The sequence below is a fragment of the Homo sapiens genome, chromosome 17 (assembly GCF_000001405.40).
Source record: "Homo sapiens chromosome 17, GRCh38.p14 Primary Assembly".
NCBI lineage: Eukaryota > Metazoa > Chordata > Mammalia > Primates > Hominidae > Homo > Homo sapiens.
The window spans coordinates 5,771,970-5,793,503 of NC_000017.11; the positions used below are offsets into that span (position 1 = coordinate 5,771,970).

The window sequence follows — 21,534 nt, forward strand, 5'->3', positions numbered from 1 at the left end:
TGAATGCACCAATCCACACTCTGTATCTAGCTACTCTGGTGGGGACTTGGAGAACCTTTGTGTCCACACTCTGTATCTAGCTAATCTAGTGGGGACGTGGAGAACCTTTGAGTCTAGCTCAGGGATTGTAAACGCACCAATCAGCGCCCTGTCAAAACAGACCACTGGGCTCTCTGTAAAATGACCAATCAGTGGATGTGGGTGGGGCCAGATAAGAATAAAAGCAGGCTGCCCAAGCTAGCAATAGCAACCCGTTGGAGTCCCTTTCCACACTGTGGAAGGTTTGTTCTTTTGCTCTTTGCAATAACTCTTGCTGCTGCTCACTGTTTGGGTCCACATTGCTTTTATGAGCTGTAACACTCGCCGCGAAGGTCTACAGCTTCAGTCCTGAAGCCGGCGAGACCACCAACCCACCAGGAGGAACAAACAACTTCAGACGCGCTGCCTTAAGAGCTGTAACACTCACCGCGAAGGTCTGCAGCTTCACTCCTGAAGCCAGCGAGACCACGAACCCATCAGGAGGAACGAACAACTCCAGACGCGCCGCCTTAAGAGCTGCAACACTCACCGCGAAGGTCCGTAGCTTCACTCCTGAGCCAGCGAGACCACGAACCCACCAAAAGGAAGAAACTCCGGACACATCCTAACATCAGAAGGAACAAACTCCGGACACGCCACCTTTAAGAACTGTAACACTCACCGCGAAGGTCCACGGCTTCATTCTTTAAGTCAGTGAGACTGAGAACCCGCCAATTCCGGACACACAGCTACAGCCAAGCCTCTTTGCTTCTCTGGGCCAGCCTCTCTGGAGCTGAATCGTGGCTGGCTGGATTTGAGGAGCCTGCATGGGCGCACTCTCTCTTTCTGAATCCCAGCTAGGGCTCTCCTGGCTGTAATTACTAAGACTCAGCTGCTGGGAATTTCCACGCCTCCTACCTCTCTACAGGGCAGTCCCTCCATATTAGGAAACCCACTGGCACGCTCCGCCGTTATCTTCGCAAGACTTCCGTTGTTGCCTCAAGTTGCAGATTGCCTTTTAACAGAGAAGAAAGTGACAGGTTTGTTTCTGGGAAGGGATGTGTTTGCGATCAGGGAGGACGGGACGGTTGTAGCTTGGGTTGAGATGCACAGACAAGCATCTTCGAACCCACATCAGGTGGGACACCCCGTTTGCTCCCAGGAGGGCTACTGCGGGGTAGGATTAAGTGCTTGTTAAAGAGAAGAGCTGTGGTTGGTGCGGTGGCTCACGCCTGTAATCCCGGCACTTTGGGAGACTGAGGTTGGTGGATCATGAGGTCAGGAGATCGAGACCATCCTGGCCACCATGGTGAAACCCTGTCTCCACTAAGAATACAAAAATTATTCGGGCGTGGTGGCGTGCGCCTGTAGTCCCAGCTACTCAGCTACTCAGCTACTCAGGAGGCTGAGACAGGAGAATCACTTGAACCTGGGAAGTAGAGGTTGCAGTGAGCCGAGATCGCACCACTGCACTCCAGCCTGGGTGACAAAGTGAGACTCCGTCTCAAGAAAAACAAAAACCAAAAACCCCATGTGGAAGGCCTTGGGGTGGGGTGTGTGCGTGGGGGGATTTGCTTCCATCATCCGGCTCATCCAGCACATAATGTTTGTTATATCACTATCTAATGTACAATATATCTTATTTATCTGATTTGTCTGTCTCTCTCTCTGTCTAGAATATAAACCCCATGAAGGCAGAGATTTTTGCCTGTTTTTTTCATATATAATATGCACTTAAATGTTTGTTGAATGAATGAATGCGAGTGTGTATCTATCATGAATCTCAGGCCGTCGATAGTACCCAAATTTTCTTCCCTCTGGCTGAGGTGGGTTGGGGGATTCCGGAGAAGCTGGAGAACTGTTGTAGTTTCTTTCAAGAGTAACACCCCAGAAGCTGCAGCAAGGTTTTGAGCAGTAACATTCCATTTGTGTTTTAGAAAGATGTCTCTGCTGGCAGCGTGGGGGGCAGGCTGGCTTGGGGATGCTGGAGGCTGGAGCTCTAAGTAGAGGATGGTGTTATCCAAGACCCGGAGGCATCAGGACCTGCAAAAGTGCTGTCAAAACAGGAAAATGCTGTGAACTTTAACAAAATTGTCAAGTTCACCAACTTTTTTTTTTCTCTGTTAAAGATCTTGCTTGCTTGACTGGTTTTTCCAAATTCCCAGAGCTTCTCTGAAGTCAGTCAATATGGCATTATTGTCATTTGGGGAACAGTAAACCTTTGAAAAATGCCTTTTGCGTTCTGGATTTGTGGAAACCGTTTGAACCGTGGTGAGTCCTTCGAAACACAGTGTTTTGATTTTCTCAATAATTTCTTGAGGATCATTAGAAATGGGAATTCAAGAGTTAGGATGGATTTTTCCCATAGGCTGCATACATGTCACAAAGCATGATTTATTGTGGCACTTCAATAAGAACTTATGGAACAGGCAAAGGTGTCCACTCAGCAGCCCTTAGGAAGCTCATTTTTGAGGCTTACGGGTCCGCTGTTTTCCAGACGCCAGGAGGTGTGGGCAAGAGCCTGTCTCAGGGTGGGAAGATTGCTCTTGGTAACTCATGAGTCCTTCACACCTGGGGTTGAGCCACCTCCACCCCCCAGCCTCCACCTCCACCCCCCAGCCTCCACCTCCACCCCCCAGCCTCCACCTCCACCCCCCAGCCTCCACCTCCACCCCCAGCCTCCACCTCCACCCCCCAGCCTCCACCTCCCACTGCTGCATGGAGCCCTATCAGACCAGGTGACCCTCAAGCATCCTTCAAAGCCTGCAAGGTTTTGGGATTTGGAGTTCAAGTGCAAACTCATTTAGTTCATGCCTTACTAGTCAGTGCCCAGGGAGATAGGGAGTAGGTGGGGTTGGTCGTGCCAGGGTCTGGGATGGTACAGGCTGGTCTGGAGTAGGAGGGAGTAGAAAGAGAATAAACTTGTTTCCTCCTTTTTTATCCCTTCCAAGGAAGGATTGAAAGGGTATGTCCAAGGGCATTATGGAAACTATGGCTTTGCCAGAAGGTGTTGATGAGAGAGACAGTCACGGGTGACTGAGGCCCTGGCTGTGGTCTTCACTGCCATCCCTAAGAATCTGTTTTGGTATTTTATGTGTGGCAGGAAAGAAATCCTATGTTCTCACCAGCCTCACTAGACCCTGATGTCTAGTGTGGTTCTGCACACATGCTGCCAGTCCCTTCTCCGAGCTCCTGCCCATGCTGCGCCTTCTGCCTCAAATGTACTTCCTCGTGCACGTGGCTCGAATCTACTAGTGTTTTAATACTCAGCATGGGAGAACCCCCTCTGTGCTTCCTAGGACTTGCCCCAGCAGAGTTAATGGCTCTGAGTGCCCTTTATACAGCCCGTATCACATTGCAATGTTGCCTGTTTGCCCTCCCAAGAATGCCTGAGGGTGGAGAAAGGTCTCATACATTCTTGCAGCTCCGAAGGCCAGCACAGGGGCAGGCACATAGTAAATGGTGGTTGAATTTTACTAATCTGTCCGGGCTCAGAGTCCTGCAGACCTGAGTTTGAATCTTCTCTCCTGACATTTGTTAGCTCTGTGACCTTGCGCGAATCAACTGGCAAGCTCATCAGCCTGTTTCCTCACCTCTGTACCTGACCAGGGGAAGGTTAAGTAGATGGAATGGGTTCTATAAACTGAAAAAACAAAAACAAAAAAACACACATATAATACTTATTGAGCCACCTGTTATGTGCCAGAAACAGCCCTGAGCTCTTTACATGTATAAACTCTCTAAATTTTCACAACAACCCTACGAGCTAGGTACTATTGTCATCTAATAATAATGTGAGGAAACTGAGGTGCAGGTGTTAAGTCACTGGCCTACGACCACACAGCTAGAAAGTAGCATGATTGGGATTTGAACCTGGAGAAGGTAGCTCCAAAGTCCATGTGCCTAACCATAATCCCAGCTCCCCGAGGACATCGCTATTAATATTTATTGAGTACCTACTATTGGCTGAGCACTTTATTTCAACTCATCCTCACAGAAACTCAATCAGGTATTATTACTCTTATATGAGAGATGAGAAAATTGAGGCTCAGAGAGGTTAAGGAGCTTGTCTAAGGTCACACCGGTAGTGACAGAGTTAAGATGCTAGCTGATGAGCCCTAAAGCCTGTGATTCTTTTCTATTCCTTTCTCATTTCTTACTCCCTTAATTGTATTGCAGAAGAAACAGAAGACCAGGGAACAAAGGTGTTTTGCCTGGAGCCATGCAGTGGCTTCTTGGTGGAGCAGGAATTAAGACTTAGCCTTGGTTAACCACAGCTTTGCAACAACCACCTCCTGCCAAACCTTAGTGACTCAGAACTATAGTAACATCTTATTTTCCTTGATTTGTGATTGGCTGGCTGTTCTGCTGCTGGTATTTCTGGGCTCACTGTGTTCCCTGGATGGTTGGGCGGGCTGGCCTCACTGTACATGTCTGGCTGTTGGCTGGGTTCCTCAGTTAACCTCCATGTGGCCCCTCAAGATCAGTTTTCTTACATAGCGGTCTCAGGGGAGAAAGAGGGAGAAAGCAGAAACAGCAGGACCCCTCAAGGTCTGGCCCAGAAGATCCTGGCATCACTTGGACTGAATTTTATTGGTCAGTGCAAGTCACAGGTGAGCTCAGATATAAGGAGAGGGAAAATAGACTCTGCCTCCTGGAGGGAGGAGCTGCAAAGCCGTCTTGTGGTAAATACATAGGAATGGTTGAGGCCATCCTGAAAATTCTTCCTAGAGGCCAGGCATGGTGGCTCACGCCTGTAATCCCAGCACTTTGGGAGGCAGAGGCGGGCAGATCACCTGAGGTCAGGAGTTTGAGACCAGCCCGGCCAACATGGTGAAACCCCCTCTCCACTAAAAATACAAAAATTAGCCGGGCGCTGTGGTGCATGCCTGTAATCCCAGCTACTCGGGAGGTTGAGGCAGGAGAATCGCTTGAACTGGGGAGATGGAGGTTGCAGTGAGCCAAGATTGCATCAGTGCACTCCAGCCTGGGTGACAGAGTGAGATTCTGTCAAAAAAAAAAAAAAAAAAATTCCTAGAGTTCCTGACTCCCAGCCTGGTGCTCTTTCCCCTCCCGTGTAGTTGGGACATTTTGCTCTTCTTCAGCCCATGCCTGGTATCGGTTTATTGTACTAAAAGACTCGGTTTAGCTTGGCCTAGACTTTTTTTCCTGAGTCAAGTAGTGCAGGGCTCAGGGAGGCCTCAGGCTCCTGCAACTTGCCTCTCCATTCCGAATCCCTTGGTGATGGCCACATTTGGCTTTGAGTGTCCTTGTGGTTTGGGCCACCCCCTGATCTCTGCCCTCTCCACAGCTGGTCTGGGAGGGTACTGCTCATTCTAATGGCCTGGGTCAAGCCAGCTTCACCCCATGGGCTTCTGACCTCCTTTCTGGCCCTTGCTGTCCTGCCCTGCCAAAAGGGCACTTTATTAGTAAGTGAGATTTCCTGGAAAACCTCCAAGGGCCTGGAATGACTGAATATTTCAGGCTAAGTGGGAAAAACTACCTGAAAGCACAGAGGATGGGAATGAGTGTCCAGGGCAATTAAGAAAAAATGTGCAAATCTTGGTTCCCTTTTGCATTTCAGGCCAAGAGGGGGAACTCTGGCCTCAGAAGAATGGCCAGGAAAAAACATACACCTTGAGCTGGGTTCAAATCAGCAAAACTTCAGCAACTGCTTACTTCTGGCCAACTCAGGTCACCTGCAGCCAGGTGCAAAGGTGTGTGCCAGAATGAGAGAGACTGTATTTCAGGAAAGATTTGTGCTATGTGAGGCGCTGCTGTTTTAGGGATGGAGGGTGATGACAGAAGATTTGTAACCCTTTAACTGTGATGCAAAACAGAATAGTGAAAGAAATCCCCCTTCTGGGTGTATATCCAAGAGGAGCAAAAGCAGGGGCTTGGACAGAGATTTGCACACCCATGTTCATAGTAGCGTTATTCACAAGAGCCAAAAGGTGGAAGCTTAAACATGATAAAGTTGCTAAATTATATATGTATGTTTTTACCTCAAATGCTTTAAAAAAAAAGTGAAAACAATCCAAAGTGTCTATTAATGGGTAAACAAAAGGTGGTATTCAGGCTTCAAAAGAAGTGAGATCCTGACACATGCTACACCATGGATGAACCTTGAAGACATTATATGCTGAGTGAAATAAGCCAGATACCAAAAGACTGTATGATTCCACTCATACGTGGTTCCTAGAGTGGCCAAAATCAGGGACAGAAAGTAGAATGGTGATGGCTGGGGTGGGGGAAGCGGGGCAAGGGGGAGTTGGTTAATGGGTACAGAGTTTCAATTTTGCAAAATGAAAAGAGTTCTGGAGGTGGTGGTGATGGCTGCACAGTGTGAATGTGTGAATGCCACTGAGCCGTACACTTAAAAATGGTCAAGATGGTAAATTTGATGTTGTGTATATTTTTCTGCCCAAAAAAAAAAAAAGATCCTTAGAAGTGCAATAGAAAAAAAATGTGGGAAGTGGCTGGTTACATTTCCAGGCCACGTGCCATGTGCAGAGCGGGACTGGGAAAGTTTCGGGGACATCAGGAGGGAGACCCTGGACAAAGGAGGGGAGTGCACAGAGCAGGTTCATTCTCCAAAGCCAAGGTCAAGGTCACACTCCTCTCCACAGACCCAACTGTGAGTCCTGAGATGCCCCAGACAATTAAATAAGGCTTGAATCAAAATGATATTTTACTTTGAAAAAAGAAAAAGCAAGAATCACAGGTGTTTTCTTTCCACCCTTTGGATATATGGCATCTGACTGTGAATGGTATGTAACCACTTTTTAAGGGAAAAATAGGCATGTATGTTTACTAGTGAATCAAGCAAAATAAAAATCAACTGGCCACATTGGCCCTGACCTTTTACTTACCACCTTCTTCCCGTAGGAATTCTTGCTCTTGGAGTGTGTGCCGTCCGAGAGTCTCCACACTGAAATGTTCTTTAATCCAGGGCCTCTTTGACATTGTTCTGCACAGGTTCTACTATGGGAATGCAGGAGGTTCATCTTTAGGATCTGTTTGCCTTCATCAACATGACTTATAACCCTCGTGCTTCCTCCACAGATGGCACAGCCACCTTTTGCTGTTTCTTAATCCAGAGCTTTCATTTAAAGATGATAAAAGAAAACATCTGCCGGGCACGGTGGCTCACACCTGTAATCTCAGCACTTTGGGAGGCCAAGGTGGGTGGATCACCTGAGGTCAGGAGTTCGAGGCCAGCCTGGCCAACATGGTGAAACCCCAGCTCTACTAAAAATACAAAAGATTAGCTGGGCGTGGTGGCAGGTGCCTGTAATCCCAGCTACTTGGGAGGCCGAGGCAGGGGAATTGCTTGAACCTGGGAGGCGGAGGTTATAGTGAGCCGAGTTCATGCCGTTGCACTCCAGCCTGGGCAACAAGGGTGAGACTCTATCACAAAAAAAAAAAAAAAAAAAAAACTTGGGCAGTAAAAGAGCTCATGAAGCACCATGGCCAGCCCCCCAGAGAGGGGAACACTGCTTTGGGAAACATTTTCTAGTGATGCTGCAAATAGCATGTGCCCTGTGACTGGCCTTCCCGTGGTGCTGTGAGTCTGTGCCTGCTCAGGCCTCCAGCATGGTGACAGGCAGTTGAAACCACCACTTTGTTTCCAAAAGCATAAAAGGATTATGCATAAACTGAGAGGTGGGTGGATAAGCAGAGACACAGAAACTCCAGAGTGTGAATGGTCTGGTTGGGGTTGAGGATGAACGTGGGGAGGTGAGGAGTAAAGAGGGACAGGGACCCACCTACTGTGTGCTGAAACCCCAGTAGGCACTTTCTAAAGTCTGTTCACTTCTCACCACAGTCTTGTGAGTTAGGAGTTTATGACAATAAAATAGTTGAGGGCCGGTTGCAGTGGCTCATGCCTGTAATCCCAGCACTTTGGGAGGCCAAGGTGGGTGGATCACCTGAGGTCAGGAGTTCGAGAGCAGCCTGGCCAATATGGTGAAACCCAGTTTCTACTAAAAAAAAAAAAAAAAATTAGCCAGGCATGGTGGCGGGTGCCTGTAATCCCAGCCACTCTGGAGGCTGAGGTGGGAGAATTGCTTGAACCTGGGAGGCGGAGGTTGCAGTGAGCCGAGATTGCATCATGGCACTCCAGCCTGGGCGACAGAGTGAGACTGTGTCTGAACAAACACACAAAAAATAGTTGAGGAAAGTGAGGCCCAAAGTGTAAACAACTAATTAGTTGGGGATGAGGATCTGAAATGTCTGGATGGCCCCATAGTCAACTGGTTCTCACTCCCATCACATTGACACAGCTTCTGCTTTGAACTTTAACCTGTGAGCCACAGGCAACCACCAAAGGGTTCTAAATAGGGGAGTGATGGGTTCAGAACTAAGTTTTAGCAAAAGCCCTCTGGCAGAAAGGTGGATGATGGATGGGAGGGAGTACTGGGGCTAGGGGGCAGAGACCAGTTCTGAGATTTACTGTAGACTCAGTAAAAGCATTGGAAGTAGGGCAGGAAATGGAGGTGGGGTGGGGAAGATGTGTTAACCATAATCGTATATTGTATAACTTGGTTCTTAAAAAACATATTGGGAGGTAAGAATTTTCCTTGCTGTTTTATAAATAAGGACACCAAAGTCATATGACCGGAAGGCTCCCAGCCTGGATCTGAACTTGAGTGCCTATGACTCAAAGGCTCCTGTAATTTCCTCTAAGCCACCTCATGAGCGCTCCCGCGTGGGCGGTGTCAGATTGGATCCAGACGTGAGGAGAAAGGCAAGGTAGAGTGGCTTTAGAGATATAGAAGTAAGCCGCGGTGGTGGAGTTCTTACCTGGAGAAAGAGAAATCAGGAGGGCGTGGGTTTGGACGCAGCAGGGTATCCAGTGGAAACACTAAGCCAGCAGCTGGAAGTGGAAGTTAGAGGCCTGAAGTCTGGAGATCGCAGATGGGCTGTGGGTTTGAGAGTCTGAAGGGTAGACCTGCTGTCTGAAGGAATGGGAGTGAAGAGGAGAGAGGAGATGTGAGAGAGAAAAAGGAGAGACGGGGAGGAAAGAAGAAAGAGAAGAGAGATGCTGATAGGGCCTCAGGGATGCTGGTGCCCAGGGGGTGGTGAAAGGGAGGAGGGGAGAGAGATACAAAGGAGACTGAGGGTGGGGTGAGGCATAGGGAAGTCAAACCAGGGAAGAGTGTGAAGAGGGAGGTGACCGCCAGTCAAATGCTGCAGAGAGGGGAAGAGGATAAGGCAGAGTGGGTGCCTGGGAATTGAGCCTCGGTGGTTGGGGGTCAGGGGTGGGGTTGGAAAGCTAGTGAGGAAGGTGGACCACAGTACTGTGTAGATGCCTGGACGGGGGCTGCCTGGGATCCTCCTCTGAGGGTCTTGCCTGGGGACTCAAACCAGGATTCTATAGACAACGTCTTCACGTGGCAAGTTATTTTTGCTGTGAACCCACGTGGTCGCGCCTGGTAATTATAGGGTAAAAGGAATTAAGCAAGACATAATTTCTCCCCATCAAACCTGACTGTTTTACGTCTCCACCTCGCACCGGCAGGCAGGCTTTCTCCCTTCACAGGTGCCACTTTGATTTCAGTCACGTTGGAAAGGAATTTGAAACATCTTCAAAGTGATTAAAGAGAGGAAGTCATTGCAAATGTGGGCTAAATGTAATAATCACATAAACTGTTTATGGCCATGGAGCTTTCAGGAGGGAAGGCCTTGTGGTAGCTGACAGTCGGGGTGGGGCTGGGGCTGGTGAGAACAGTGGTGGCAGAGGTGGCGACGGCACTGCAGGTACAGGTGGAGGATGGCTCAGGTGCAGGTGGAGGATGGCTCAGGTGCAGATGCAGGTGCAGGTGGAGGATGGCTCAGGTGCAGATGCAGGTGCAGGTGGAGGATGGCTCAGGTGCAGATGCAGGTACAGGTGGAGGATGGCTCAGGTGCAGGTGGAGGATGGCTCAGGTGCAGATGCAGGTGCAGGTGGAGGATGGCTCAGGTGCAGATGCAGGTACAGGTGGAGGATGGCTCAGGTGCAGGTGGAGGATGGCTCAGGTGCAGTGCAGGTGCAGGCACAGATGCAAGTGGGGATGGATCTAATTGTAATATTAATTATTATTATTACAGCTACTGTTTTTTGAGCATTACTACTCCCTTAGTGCTGTCTCCTTTAACCTTCATTAGAGCCTCATGAAGTGAGCATGATGGTCCTTATAATAAGGGGAGCAAGGTCCAGAGAAGTTCAGTCATTTGTTGAAGACACACACCTAGGAAGGGGCAGGGTTTGGATGTGGAGATAGTCCCATCCCAATTCAAAACCACTCAGCCTCAGCTTCACTGTGTGGGGTCCATGGTCCACGTCTGCTCCCTATGGCATCCCAAGGGGACTCTTTCATGTTCAGGGAATTTGACCTTTGAGTCTAGACCTGGGACTGAGTGGGTGAAACCCTGGCTAATAATTCACCAAAGACTCCAAGACATAAGGGTACTCCTGTGACTCCCTCCCTCCATGCAGGCAAGGTCTTGCTCTGTTGCCAGGCTGGAGTGCAGTGGTGCAATCTCGGCTCACTACAACCTCCACCTCCTGGGTTCAAGCAATCCTCCTGCCTCAGTCCCCCGAGTAGCTGGGATTACAGGCGTGCACCACCATGCCCAGCTAATTTTTGTATTTTTAGTAGAGATGGGGTTTCACCATGTTGACCAGGCTGGTCTTGAACTCCTGACCTCAGGTGATCTGCCTGCCTCAGCCTCCCAAAATGCTGAGATTACAGGCGTGAGCCACTGTGCCTGGCCTCAGATGCCTTTATAAAGCAACTTTAGTTTTGCCTCTTTAAACTCACTTTGTAGGACTTGTTTTCCCCTGATCCTAATGAGATCTCCAGAAGGCCCTGCACTTCTCTGACCACATTTAGATCATAAAATGTTATCTGGTTGCCTCAGCCCCTTGGACAGTCTCAGTTCAGTAATTAGTATGTCTAATCTGGGGCAATACCCAAGGCTCCAAACTTCATTTAAAGCTTGCAATCAGGAAAGGGAGTTGGGGGAGATTTTTCTCTCTTTACTCCCTGCAATAGGTTCCTATTGAAGCTGCATCAAATTATCATGAACTTAGAGGCTTAAACAACACAGATTTACTGTCTTATAATTCTTGATTTATTATCTTGTGGTTCAAAAGTCCAAAATGGGTTGTCAGGACAGTATTCCTGTGGAGGGTTCTAGGGGAGAATCTACTTCTTTGCCTTTTCCAGGTCTCAGTGGCTGCCTGCATTCCTTGGCTTGTGGTCCCGCATTGGTCTGACACCACTTCCAGTTTCGTACCTCCTTTCCAGTGCATGCTTTCTTGACAACGAATCCCCTAATTTTGTATTATTTGCAAAATTGTGGATAGGCTGAGAATCTCCCAATTCCTTTTTCTTGACAGTTCTCTCCTCGATTTACCTCTTTCCTCTCATGTTTTACTATAAGCAGCATGAAGAAAACAGGCTGCACCTTCAACACTTTGCTTGGAAATCTCCTCAACTAAACATTCAAGTTCATCATGTATAAGTTTTGCTTTCCACATGACTGTAGGACACAGTTCAGCTAAGCTTTCTGCTTCTATGTAACAAAGGTCCACTTTCGTCCAGTTTCTAATAACACGCTCCTCATTTCCTTCTGAGCCCTCATTAGAAGCATCTTTAAACTTCTATTTCTGCCAATGGGCTGTTCACAATGATTTGGGTGTTTAGTAAAATGCTACATGTTTTATTATTGTGCTCCTTATTTCCTTCTGGTCATTCATGGTGGAGGCTTTAACATCCATCTTCCTATTGGCAGTATGTTCAAGACAATCTCTGCTTTCTCTATTGTGCCCCTCAATATTCTTTCATCCTCTGCCAACTGCCCAGTTCCAAAGCCATTTCAACATTTTTGTGTATTTGTTATAGCAGCACCTCACTTCTAGGTTCCAGAAATCTCTATCAGTCAGAGTTCAACCAGAGTAACAAGGCCAATGGGAGATAAATATTAAGAGATTTATTGCCTGAAATTGGCTTATGTGATTGTAGGGGCTGCCTAGGCAAGCCTGAAACTTGTAGGGAAGGCTTCCAGGAAGGGCAGGATGGAACTTGCAGGCGCGAGCTGATTCTGCTATCTGCAGGTGGAATTTCTTCTTCTTTAGGGAAGTCTCAGTTCTGGTCTTAAGGCTTTCAACTTATTGAATCAGGACCACTCGGATTATCTGGAATAACCTCCCTTCCTTAACATCAACTGATTATGGACTTTAATCACATCTACAAAATACCTTCACAGCAACACATGGATTCATGTTTGTTTGAATACGTGGGGATTGTAACCTAACCAACTTGACACATAAAACTGACCATCACCCTCGCCCATTCTCCTCTCCTCATCCCACTAGCTAATGAGGGATGAGTGAGGCTAGGAGGTGTGGACTAGGGTAAGGAAAGAAGAAAAGGGCAGGGATGGTTTTCATAACTGTGTGTATGGGGTGAGGGGAATCTGGCAATTATTTCCTCTGACATCAGCTGCTGTTTAGAGCCAAGCCTTTCTCTCATAGGTGCTGCTGAGAGTTTTTCAGACCCCTGGTATTATCAACCTCTGCTGGATAATGCTGCATAACAAACAGCTCCAGAACTCAGTGGCTTAAAACCAGCATTTATTCTCATGGTCATGGGTTTGCAGCTGTTTGGCTGGTTCAGACTGTTTGGCTGGTGGGTCTGCTTCAAGCTATGGGTTCAGGTGGCTGTGGCTCCAGGTTGTGGGTTTGGTTCTTGGCCCCTCTGTGTTCCCTGTAGGGCTCAGGCCCAGGTTCATCTTCTCAAGATGGATCACTGGGACACCAGAGGGCTAGCCCTGCCACATGCAAGCATATTTGCAGCCCTGCCTTGCTCACCTTTTCCCTGCTTTCAGAATACCCCTTTGGCCATAGCAAGTCACAGGCCTAGCTCAAAGTAAAGGAGCAAGGCACCTGTGAGCAGTCACCTGTGCTCACCAGGAGTCCATAGCCAAACTGTGACTATTATAAAGGAGTGAATCATCGTGACCTATGATGCCATATACTACCCTCATCCCTATTCTGGGATCTCTTTTACTTGCCCACTCTCTGTGGGCAGTTTATGACATTCTCTGTTGACTTCTGATTCCTGGGGATGCTCTTCCTCACGCAGACTGTCTTCTGGGGTCCTGATGCCCCTCCAGGCAGCCCTCTGGGTAAATTTCTTTTAAGACCACTCTGAACCATCTCACCTCTGCTCTCTACAATGCTGCCACAGGCTACTTCAGCCAACCTTCTGTCCTTTAAAATTTTCAGACACAAGTCAGACACCCATCCACTCCATCCCCCAAGCTCCACGGGAATTTGCAGCAAAACCCCTTGAAGCCCCTTTCACTAGCAACCCTCAACCTCCCCCAAGAGATTCCTGGAGTCTCCATGCCTGGCCAGGTTCCATTTGTGCAAGAAGGATCAATTGCCAAATTTGAAGTAATTGGAATTTTTTTCCCTCTAGTCACAGTCATTTTTCTCATTCCCAGTCAAGCATGTCCCCTGTGCTGCCTGCTTTTTGCCGGACCCTGCATTTGTGTTTGGAGATGAGACATTTCCTGTCAGCCCCGTTGTGCTCCACTGAGCTGGGTGCTGTGTGAGCTGTTCATTAAGACTGCCTATTATCTCGGATTCCCTTCGGTTGCTCAGAGCAATTTATTTTCTTCCTGAAGGAAAAGAACTTTGGCTCCCCCAGGCCTCAAACCCAGAGGCTTTGGACACATGGGCACCAAAAGTTTAGGGTGGAAAGTTCTGGCTGGTGGCTGGATGCACAGATGACACCCAGTCACATAGAGGATTACTTGGGACAATCACAGGGCAGATGTGAACACCGGTTACATCTGCAGGTACCAGCCAAATGAAATGAAGTGTAACTATACAGTGTTAGGGAAATTTAAAGGATTGCTATTTCTACTGGGCCAGATCGCTACTTCCCAGCATAGAAGAATAACCTCTGATGTCAAATTTAAATAGCCTGTTTTATGCTTCTGTGAATCTAAGTACGAAGCAAGAACATTTAGGCTGAGGAACCCAGTCCTGCCGGCCAGCCATCTGTGTTTCTTGACTGTTCCCCACCATCAGGCCCTCTCAGAGTGGTGGCCTGGCATGGTCCCGTTGGGTAACTGGTATCTTTTATCCACGACACGGGGAGAAGCTGGGTACCCCCTACAGGAAGGGAGGGAGCTCACGTGGCTTCCCACGCTGTTTCTGTGCTGGAAAGTTCCATGGTTCAGCAGTTCTGCTGGCCTCCATAGGGGACAGTCTACTGGTGGCCTCATCTTGCCCTAACCAGTCGACTCATCGTTCAAGTCCCCAGGGAAAATCCTGGCTGAAGCCTCCTCAAGAAAGCAGGTGTTTCTTTCTTGGTGCTGACATGGTATGAGTTCCCCTATTTGCTGTGACACTTACCACATAGTGCTGTAGTGACTCGTGTGTTTATCTGTTTCTCCTTCCAAGCTGTGAGCAACTGCAGGCCTGGCTTTGATGTATCTCTGCATCCCCTGACACACAGCTGAAGCTCAGTAAACCCTGGCTGAAGAGCCGGAGACAAGAGGAGAGGAAAGGGAAACATTGTCTTTCTCCCTCAGCATCTAAGGGGCCTAACTTGGACTTCTAAGTGAGGCTGAAATGCAGCCTTGTCCAGGTTTCAGTGGAGTTGCCAGATGGCTTGGTGTTTGTCAGTGGCTTTGAGGTGATTAATTGGACGTTGTTCTTCTCTCCCGGTGGGTGCCTGAGCCTCAGCCATCTCATCACAGCTGCACTTACCTGGTGGTAAAGCCAAGGTCCAGAAGAAGCGAGCAGCAGTTGACTGCCTCAGGCAACCCAGGCTGCTGGGTGGAATAAACTGGAGAAAAAGAACGGTCAAGTTATCCGAATGATGAGCTGACTGTTTTCAAAAATTAATTGTTTCACCTCCCTCGAGAAGTTTATTTGGAGGGGCCACCTTCCTCCACTGGGGAGCTGGGTCTCGATGCATGAGAGGCAGGATCAAACACTACAGTGTGTTTTGGGGAAAAGTCAGAAAGTAGGAGTCTCTGTATTGCTTAGTTGTGTGACCTTGAGCAATTCTTTTCCTTTTCTGGGAAATTCGGTTTCCCTCTCTGTAGAGTGGAGTGGTTAAGAGTAGTACAGGCTCCTTAGATTCCATCTTGCTACTTTCTACTGGTGAGAACTTGGGAAAATTACTTTTTCTGCAAAATGGGGCCACGATTAGAACTACTTCATTGGGTGATAGTGCATGTTAAATGAGTTAGTAGATAGAAAGTGCTCAGGACAGTGCCTCCGATGTACTGATTGCAGTGTAAATGTTTACTGTTGCTATCATCATCGTCACCACCATCATCATCATTCTCAGATTAGGTCATCAGTCCCTACCACTGTGGGTCTCTGGACTGGGGTGGTCTGTGAGGGGAGCTTTCACCAGCTAGTCAAAGTGAGACACGAATGTCCGCATCATGTACATGGAAGGTGGTCAACATTTCTTTTTGGGAAAAGTTGTTATTTTATTCTGAAACAATGTCCTTTCTACGCTTTAAGTGCTAAAATATCATTTTTAAATGAAATAATAATTATAATTTAAAAAATGTCCTATCTGGCAAAACAAGAAGCTGGTGGTACCCACCTTGGGGGTTTGAGGCATCACATGGTCCAATTTCCTCATTATTTATATGACGCTTCTTTGAGGGCAAGAGAGTTGGCCAAGGTCATGAGACAGTCTCAACCCACCAGATATCGGAGAAGTAGACCCTGGTCCTTGTTAGGTTTGTTTATGTATTTATTTGAGTCTTGGTCTGTCACCCAGGTTGGTGTGCAGTGGCATGATCATGGCTCACTGCAGCCTCCAACTCCTGAGCTCAAGGAATTTTCCCCCTTCAGCCTCTGGAGTAGCTGGGACTACAGGTGTGCACCACCATGTCCGGCTTATTACTATTATTATTACTATTATTGACTATTAGTTTATAGAGACAGGGTCTCATTATGTTGCCCAGGCTGGTGTCCAACTCCTGGGCTCAAATGATCCTCCCACCTCGGCCTCCCAAAGTGCTGAGATTACAAGTGTGAGCCACTGCACCTCGTCCCACTTGTTGGTTTGAAATGGCTGTTTCTGTGTCTGGTTTCCTTCCTCCAAAGGAAAGGAAGAAAGTGACTATGATATCCTAGTGAAATTCTCCTCAAATCAGTAGTATGATAGAAAATGTAACTAGGAGAAATTGTAGAAGTCAAGTTCAATTCCATCGAAACTTCACTGAGCACCTACGAATGCCATGTTGCATGACAACCAACTCCTATTAATGCCATGTTGTATGACAACCAACTCCAGTCCTGCCACCACAGCCTCTCTCCAACATTTACTGTACACATAGGAAGCACCAGACATGGTGATAATGCCTCACGTGGATTATCTCACTGTCTTCTGAGGAGTATGAGGTATGTATGGTTGGCCCCATTTCACAGAGGAAGAAACTGAGACTTGGAATAGTGCAGGACCTTGCCCAGGGTTTCACAGTCAGAAGTGGGACCAAGAGAAGTCTGTTTGACACCAAGGTTGGGCTTCCAGCCCCCATATCATGCTGTCATTGTGGGCACCACGCATGGCTCCGGCCGTACCCAGAGTTGGTGACTAAGTCTGAGCTCACATGTGTGATTATGTGATTCGTGTCTGTCCTCAGCAGCTGCTCCAGGGAAAATAGAGTGAGAATGCCTTTTGCTCACCCCTTATCTTCAGCACCCAGCATGGGGCCTGCCTGGCACAGATTAACTGATCACTGAATACTCGCTGATTGGATGAATGAGTGAATGAATGAATTTGTTGAGAATCACCCAGGAAAGAATTCTGCCCCCACCCTGCCTCCAAGATTCTCATTCAAGAACTTGGGAGGGAGCATATAAGTCTACCTTTTAGGCCAGGCGCGGTGCCTCACACCTGTAATCCCAGCATGTTGGGAGGCCGAGGTGGGCGGATCACCTAAGGTCAGGAGTTCGAGACCAGCCTGACCAACATGGCGAAACTCTGTCTCTACTAAAAATACAAAAATTAGCCTGGCGTGGTGGTGGGTGCCTGCAATCCCAGCTACTCGGGAGGCTGAGGCAGGAGAATCGCTTGAACCTGGGAGGCAGAGGTTGCAGTGAGCTGAGATCATGCCACTGCACTCCAGCCTGGGTGACAGAGCAACACTCCCTCCATCTCAAAAACAACAAACAAAAAAACCCAAATCTACCTTTTAAGTTCTGCTCATGCCCCAGAAACTGCCCTCTAAGACACCTGGCTGTAGGGAAATGGGTTTTTCTAAAGATCAGGCAGGGAGACCTTGGTATTTTATTCTGCAGGCAATGGGGAATCACTAAAGAGGGATTTGATGAGGGGATGGGAAGTCCTCCAGAGCTGCGCTTTACAAAAATTGCCGAATGACTTTGCTTGTCCCCTTGCCTAGTGATGCCCCCTCCCTTTTTTTTTTTTTTTCTGTCAAGACTGATTCTGAACAAGAGAGATTCAGGACAAACATCTCCGTGCTGCCGCTGTGGAGCAGTCGGTTCACTTTCAGCCTTTTGCTGCCTCTCTGACAGCAGGCGGCCCGTTAGGGGCTCCCTGACCTTCCGCAATGGATTGTTAGCGCATTTGAGCCCTTTGTAGGAGGATTTCCTCTGCCGTAATTGGACCTTCACTCTGTTGCGCTTCCTGACCACAGAGCTTGTTAGCTGTCAGGCAAGACTGTGAATTTGCACAATGGCCAGCGAGGCTCATTTTTCATAGGCTACCCTGCCACGGGAGCACCCTATGGAAGGACGCCCATAATGCAGGAATACGCCGTATTGTGGGGGAGGAGAGAAGAATTAGGGCCCAACTTGGGAATGGGGAGCATGACAAAATGAAATCTCCCCGCTGGGTTCCCATAGAACTCCGTTCAGTCAGGTGCATGTCTGCCGAGCGTCTGTGTTTAAGGCTATCGTGCTGGGTTTGCTGTCAACCCAGTTACTCCAAGGGAACAATGACAGCTTCTTCCAGTTCTCTGACTCCTTCCCAGGATTTCTTTTAGAAGGAGGTTCATTTGAGCAGTCTGTAAGCATGAGGGGAATCACTGGGCTGAATGGGAGCTAGTGACAGGGCCAGAAGTGGAACTCAGCTTGTTGCTGCCCAGCGGAGAAAACCTGTGCTTCTACAGTCCTGGCTCACTTGCAGAGGGGACATTGCGGAATCCTGCGTCTATCCTAGGCTCTTAGATCCTGAATTTTAGGAGAGGATCCTACGTGTTTTTCCCCCTGCTTCTTTGCCTGACATCACTGAAGTGACCCTAGGCTCTGCAGAGCTGCCTTGGACCCAGGGACTTAGTAAAAACTGTATTTGGGGGAATGAGAGGAAGCTTTGTGAAAAGAGAATAGAAAGGAAATACGGGGAAGACGGAGGGAAAACAGGAAGATTCTGCATCCTCAGGTTTGCCAGTGGCCTTGTAGACCTGAGCTATGAGAGACGAATAGAGATCGTGAAACCAGGACCATGAGTGATGGGCGTTGGGTGGGCACCAGCTTCGGGGAGGGCGAGGCAGGGGCAGGAGAGTAGATGTTTATAACCAGACTTTGCTGGTGCTTGCTATTCTCTGTGCACCCCTGTCCTATACCCTCGAATCCTGTCTGCCCTTTTTGCCTCCCTGACCTGTGCTGTGCCCCAGGAGGACATCACCCAGGGTTTCCTTGCTGACTATCTGTTGGGTTTGGCCAGTGAGGCACTAATAGAAGATTGGAGAGGGGAGAGAGAAAGAGAGAGAGAGGATGAGGCGGGGCTTTCTCTGACCCTCCTTGCTCTGGGCCATGTTCTGGAAGTTGCTGGACCCGTCCATGTCCTGTCTGGTGTCATCTTCAGTGGCTCTAGCTCTCACTGGGTCCCAGTCATATTTCTTTCCTCTTCTCCTTTATGCCTATGGGTGGTGATGCCTCACAATTCCTGCCGCAACACTGAGAGGAGTTCCTTAATTTGAGTTTCTTCCTTTGCATCATCCCTGTTGGATTCTGTGTCCTCATGGGGTCTGATTGATGTAGGGCTTCTGTTTCCTGGGCCTCCTCATCTTGGGCATGGCTTTGTTCCCTAGATAGTGAGCTGAGTATGGCTTGCTCTAACTTTGAAGAAGTTCTTGGCACAATGAAGGGTAGGATAGAGGCTGTGAGGAGAAAGAGAGGCTTCTGGAGGAGGTTGTAAGAAAAGCCTTGGGGCCAGCCCTCAGGGCTAGGTCCAGTGGGCTATTCGGTCAGTGCACTTCTCAGGAGGAGTCTGTGTGGTACCCAGCTCTTGGGCTCTTGGCAGGTCTGGTGGTCATAATTGAAAGTCCTTTTGCTGGAGAGAGGCCAGATCAAAGCTACCTTATGGAGAAGACTCCGTTGGTATTTAAAATGTCAGAATGACATTTCTGATAAGAAAATCAGAGGCCTGTTGAATAATGTTGACGTGGGAAACATTTCCTTTGAGGTGAGAAGCACAATACAAGCAATTAAGGCTGAAGCTGAGAAATAGCAGGTATGTGAGGCCTGCGAAGTGAGAATGCCTGTGGAAAGGTGTGGCTGGGACGACCACTGGAGAGCTGACTCTCCCGCCTGGATGAAAATTCTGGGGAGGGACTCAATGTGGAAGCCAAACAAATGAAAGATCCATACAGCTCTTGGGCGAGAAGGATAGAAGGTTTGTCACCCATGAGATGTGGCAGCATTTACTTGGGGGGAGAAGAAGGAATCCAGGAATGGAAGAAACCTCCTTCTTTGTCTCTTCCCACCTGCCCTCATAATTAGTGTGGCCAGGTACTGGCACACATGCTCCAGTTTCAGCCACTGACTCTGGAGGTTCAGTTGGAAGATCTAGTCCAGAATCCGATGGATCTGATAAGCTTGGTCTTGACTTGGCCAACTTAGACTGGAGTTTCCAAAAGAAGGTGTTGCATCTTGAAGTACCTTTCTTCTGTCTCATGAACACAATATCAGCCACATTCAAGAGTTAATCTTGTTGGTCTCCATGTGGATTCCAGTCTTAACTGTTAAAAAAATCTTCTGTGTTACCAAGTTTCCAAATATTTTCTCTTTAGCTATCTGAAATGATACAGAATAGACTGATTGGGACTGATGACAGCAAATTCAGATGACGGTTGCATTATAGAATGAGCTCTATTTTAGCCAAGTTGATAGCAAAGCAAATCCTAGTTCTCCATTAACTTCTATTATTAAGCCAGAGATGTGTTTTCATGAGGATTTAATGACTTTCTTGTGTGAACACAAAGAACAATACAATAAATGTGTAACAATATAATAAATGTGGGGCACTGACAAATGCTCCACAGACTACCTCAGAGTTCTCAGGGCCTGTGGACACTAACTTCTAAAGTCTTAGGTTGCACTTATGGCCTCTTTGCTGGGTTTTTTTTTTCCCATGAAAGGAGAGCAAGACATACTCTGTCCACCACAGACATGGATCAGTCGTTTCCTGGGCTTCACCAGAATGTCTCTTCTGGTTTTCATTAGTGAAGCGTGTTCACCATTGAAGACCAGAAGGGGCATTTAGGGAAGGACAATGGCAGCACTCATTACCCGGGTGAATCCGTGATTTCTGGACTGTGGGCCTCTTTTCTCACAGGGACCCTTGTCAATGCTCAGCTGAGAAAAGTCTTCACAGCACAGCTTACAACAAATCTATTAGAAGTGCAGAAATCTCCTAAAAGTGCTGTCATTAAGTCACATCACAGTCTTTTTCTCTCTAGTGATTCAACACATACTTTTTGAGTGACTATTATGTTCATATATTAGGTGCTAGGGATAAAATTGAGAACAATGAAGACATCTACTCTCAGGGAATTTATATTCAGGAGACAAAGAAAAAAATTGAATACATATGTACAAGATAATGGCAGGTAATAAGTGCATTAAAGAAAAACAAGAAAGTGCATTGAAGAAATGCAAGAATGACAGGAATTGTTACCATTTTAAATGCAGTGGTCAGAGAAGTCTCTTCTGAGGAGGTGACATTTGAGTAGGGACCACAAAGCAAGCCATGAGAATATATGAGAAGGTGTTTTTGGGCAGAGAAAACAGCAAGGCCAAAGGCCTGAGGCGGGAGACTGCAGGGTATACTTGGGTAGGAAGGCATTGTGGATGGAATGGAGTGAGCAAGTGGTACAGTGGGAGACAACAAAGCCAGAGATGACATCTTTTTCCTTTTCTTTGCCATTTAACTAAATTCCGAACATTGGCATATATTCTTTTTCTTTCCCTGGAAACTCTTTGATTCCACACTGGCAGCTTCCAAAGATGTACTCACTTCTGGGCATGTATAGGGTCTCATAGAGCTGAATTGCAATACCACCTCTCACCAGCAGTTGCCACTAGGGCACCCAATTCCTACAGTTTTGTAATTCTATTTCAAATCTGCAACACATTGAGTGCATGCCAGGGGTCAAGTACTGCGCAGGCTGCTGGGTTACAACAATAAGTTAGATACAGTCTGGTAGGCATAAATTCAAGGCTTCAGTGAAATGACC

General features: G+C 47.8%; 1 long non-coding RNA gene across 1 annotated transcript in view, besides 2 other annotated features; it reads left to right on the plus strand.

The window, feature by feature from the left end:
- Positions 1 to 264: 264 nt before the first annotated feature.
- Positions 265 to 21,534, plus strand: part of LOC339166 (uncharacterized) — a 158,463-nt gene continuing 137,193 nt past the window's right edge. Inside the window, exon 1 of the long non-coding RNA NR_040000.1 lies at positions 265 to 1,058. This is a non-coding gene — a long non-coding RNA (uncharacterized LOC339166). The remainder of the gene's footprint in view (positions 1,059 to 21,534) is intronic.
- Positions 13,674 to 13,863: an enhancer, noted in NCBI's record as "active region_11582". NCBI's record gives its function as "activates an Ori minimal core promoter by ATAC-STARR-seq in GM12878 lymphoblastoid cells {active_cell/tissue: GM12878}" and the evidence as "EXISTENCE:reporter gene assay evidence [ECO:0000049][PMID:35858748]".
- Positions 14,030 to 14,079: an enhancer, noted in NCBI's record as "active region_11583". NCBI's record gives its function as "activates an Ori minimal core promoter by ATAC-STARR-seq in GM12878 lymphoblastoid cells {active_cell/tissue: GM12878}" and the evidence as "EXISTENCE:reporter gene assay evidence [ECO:0000049][PMID:35858748]".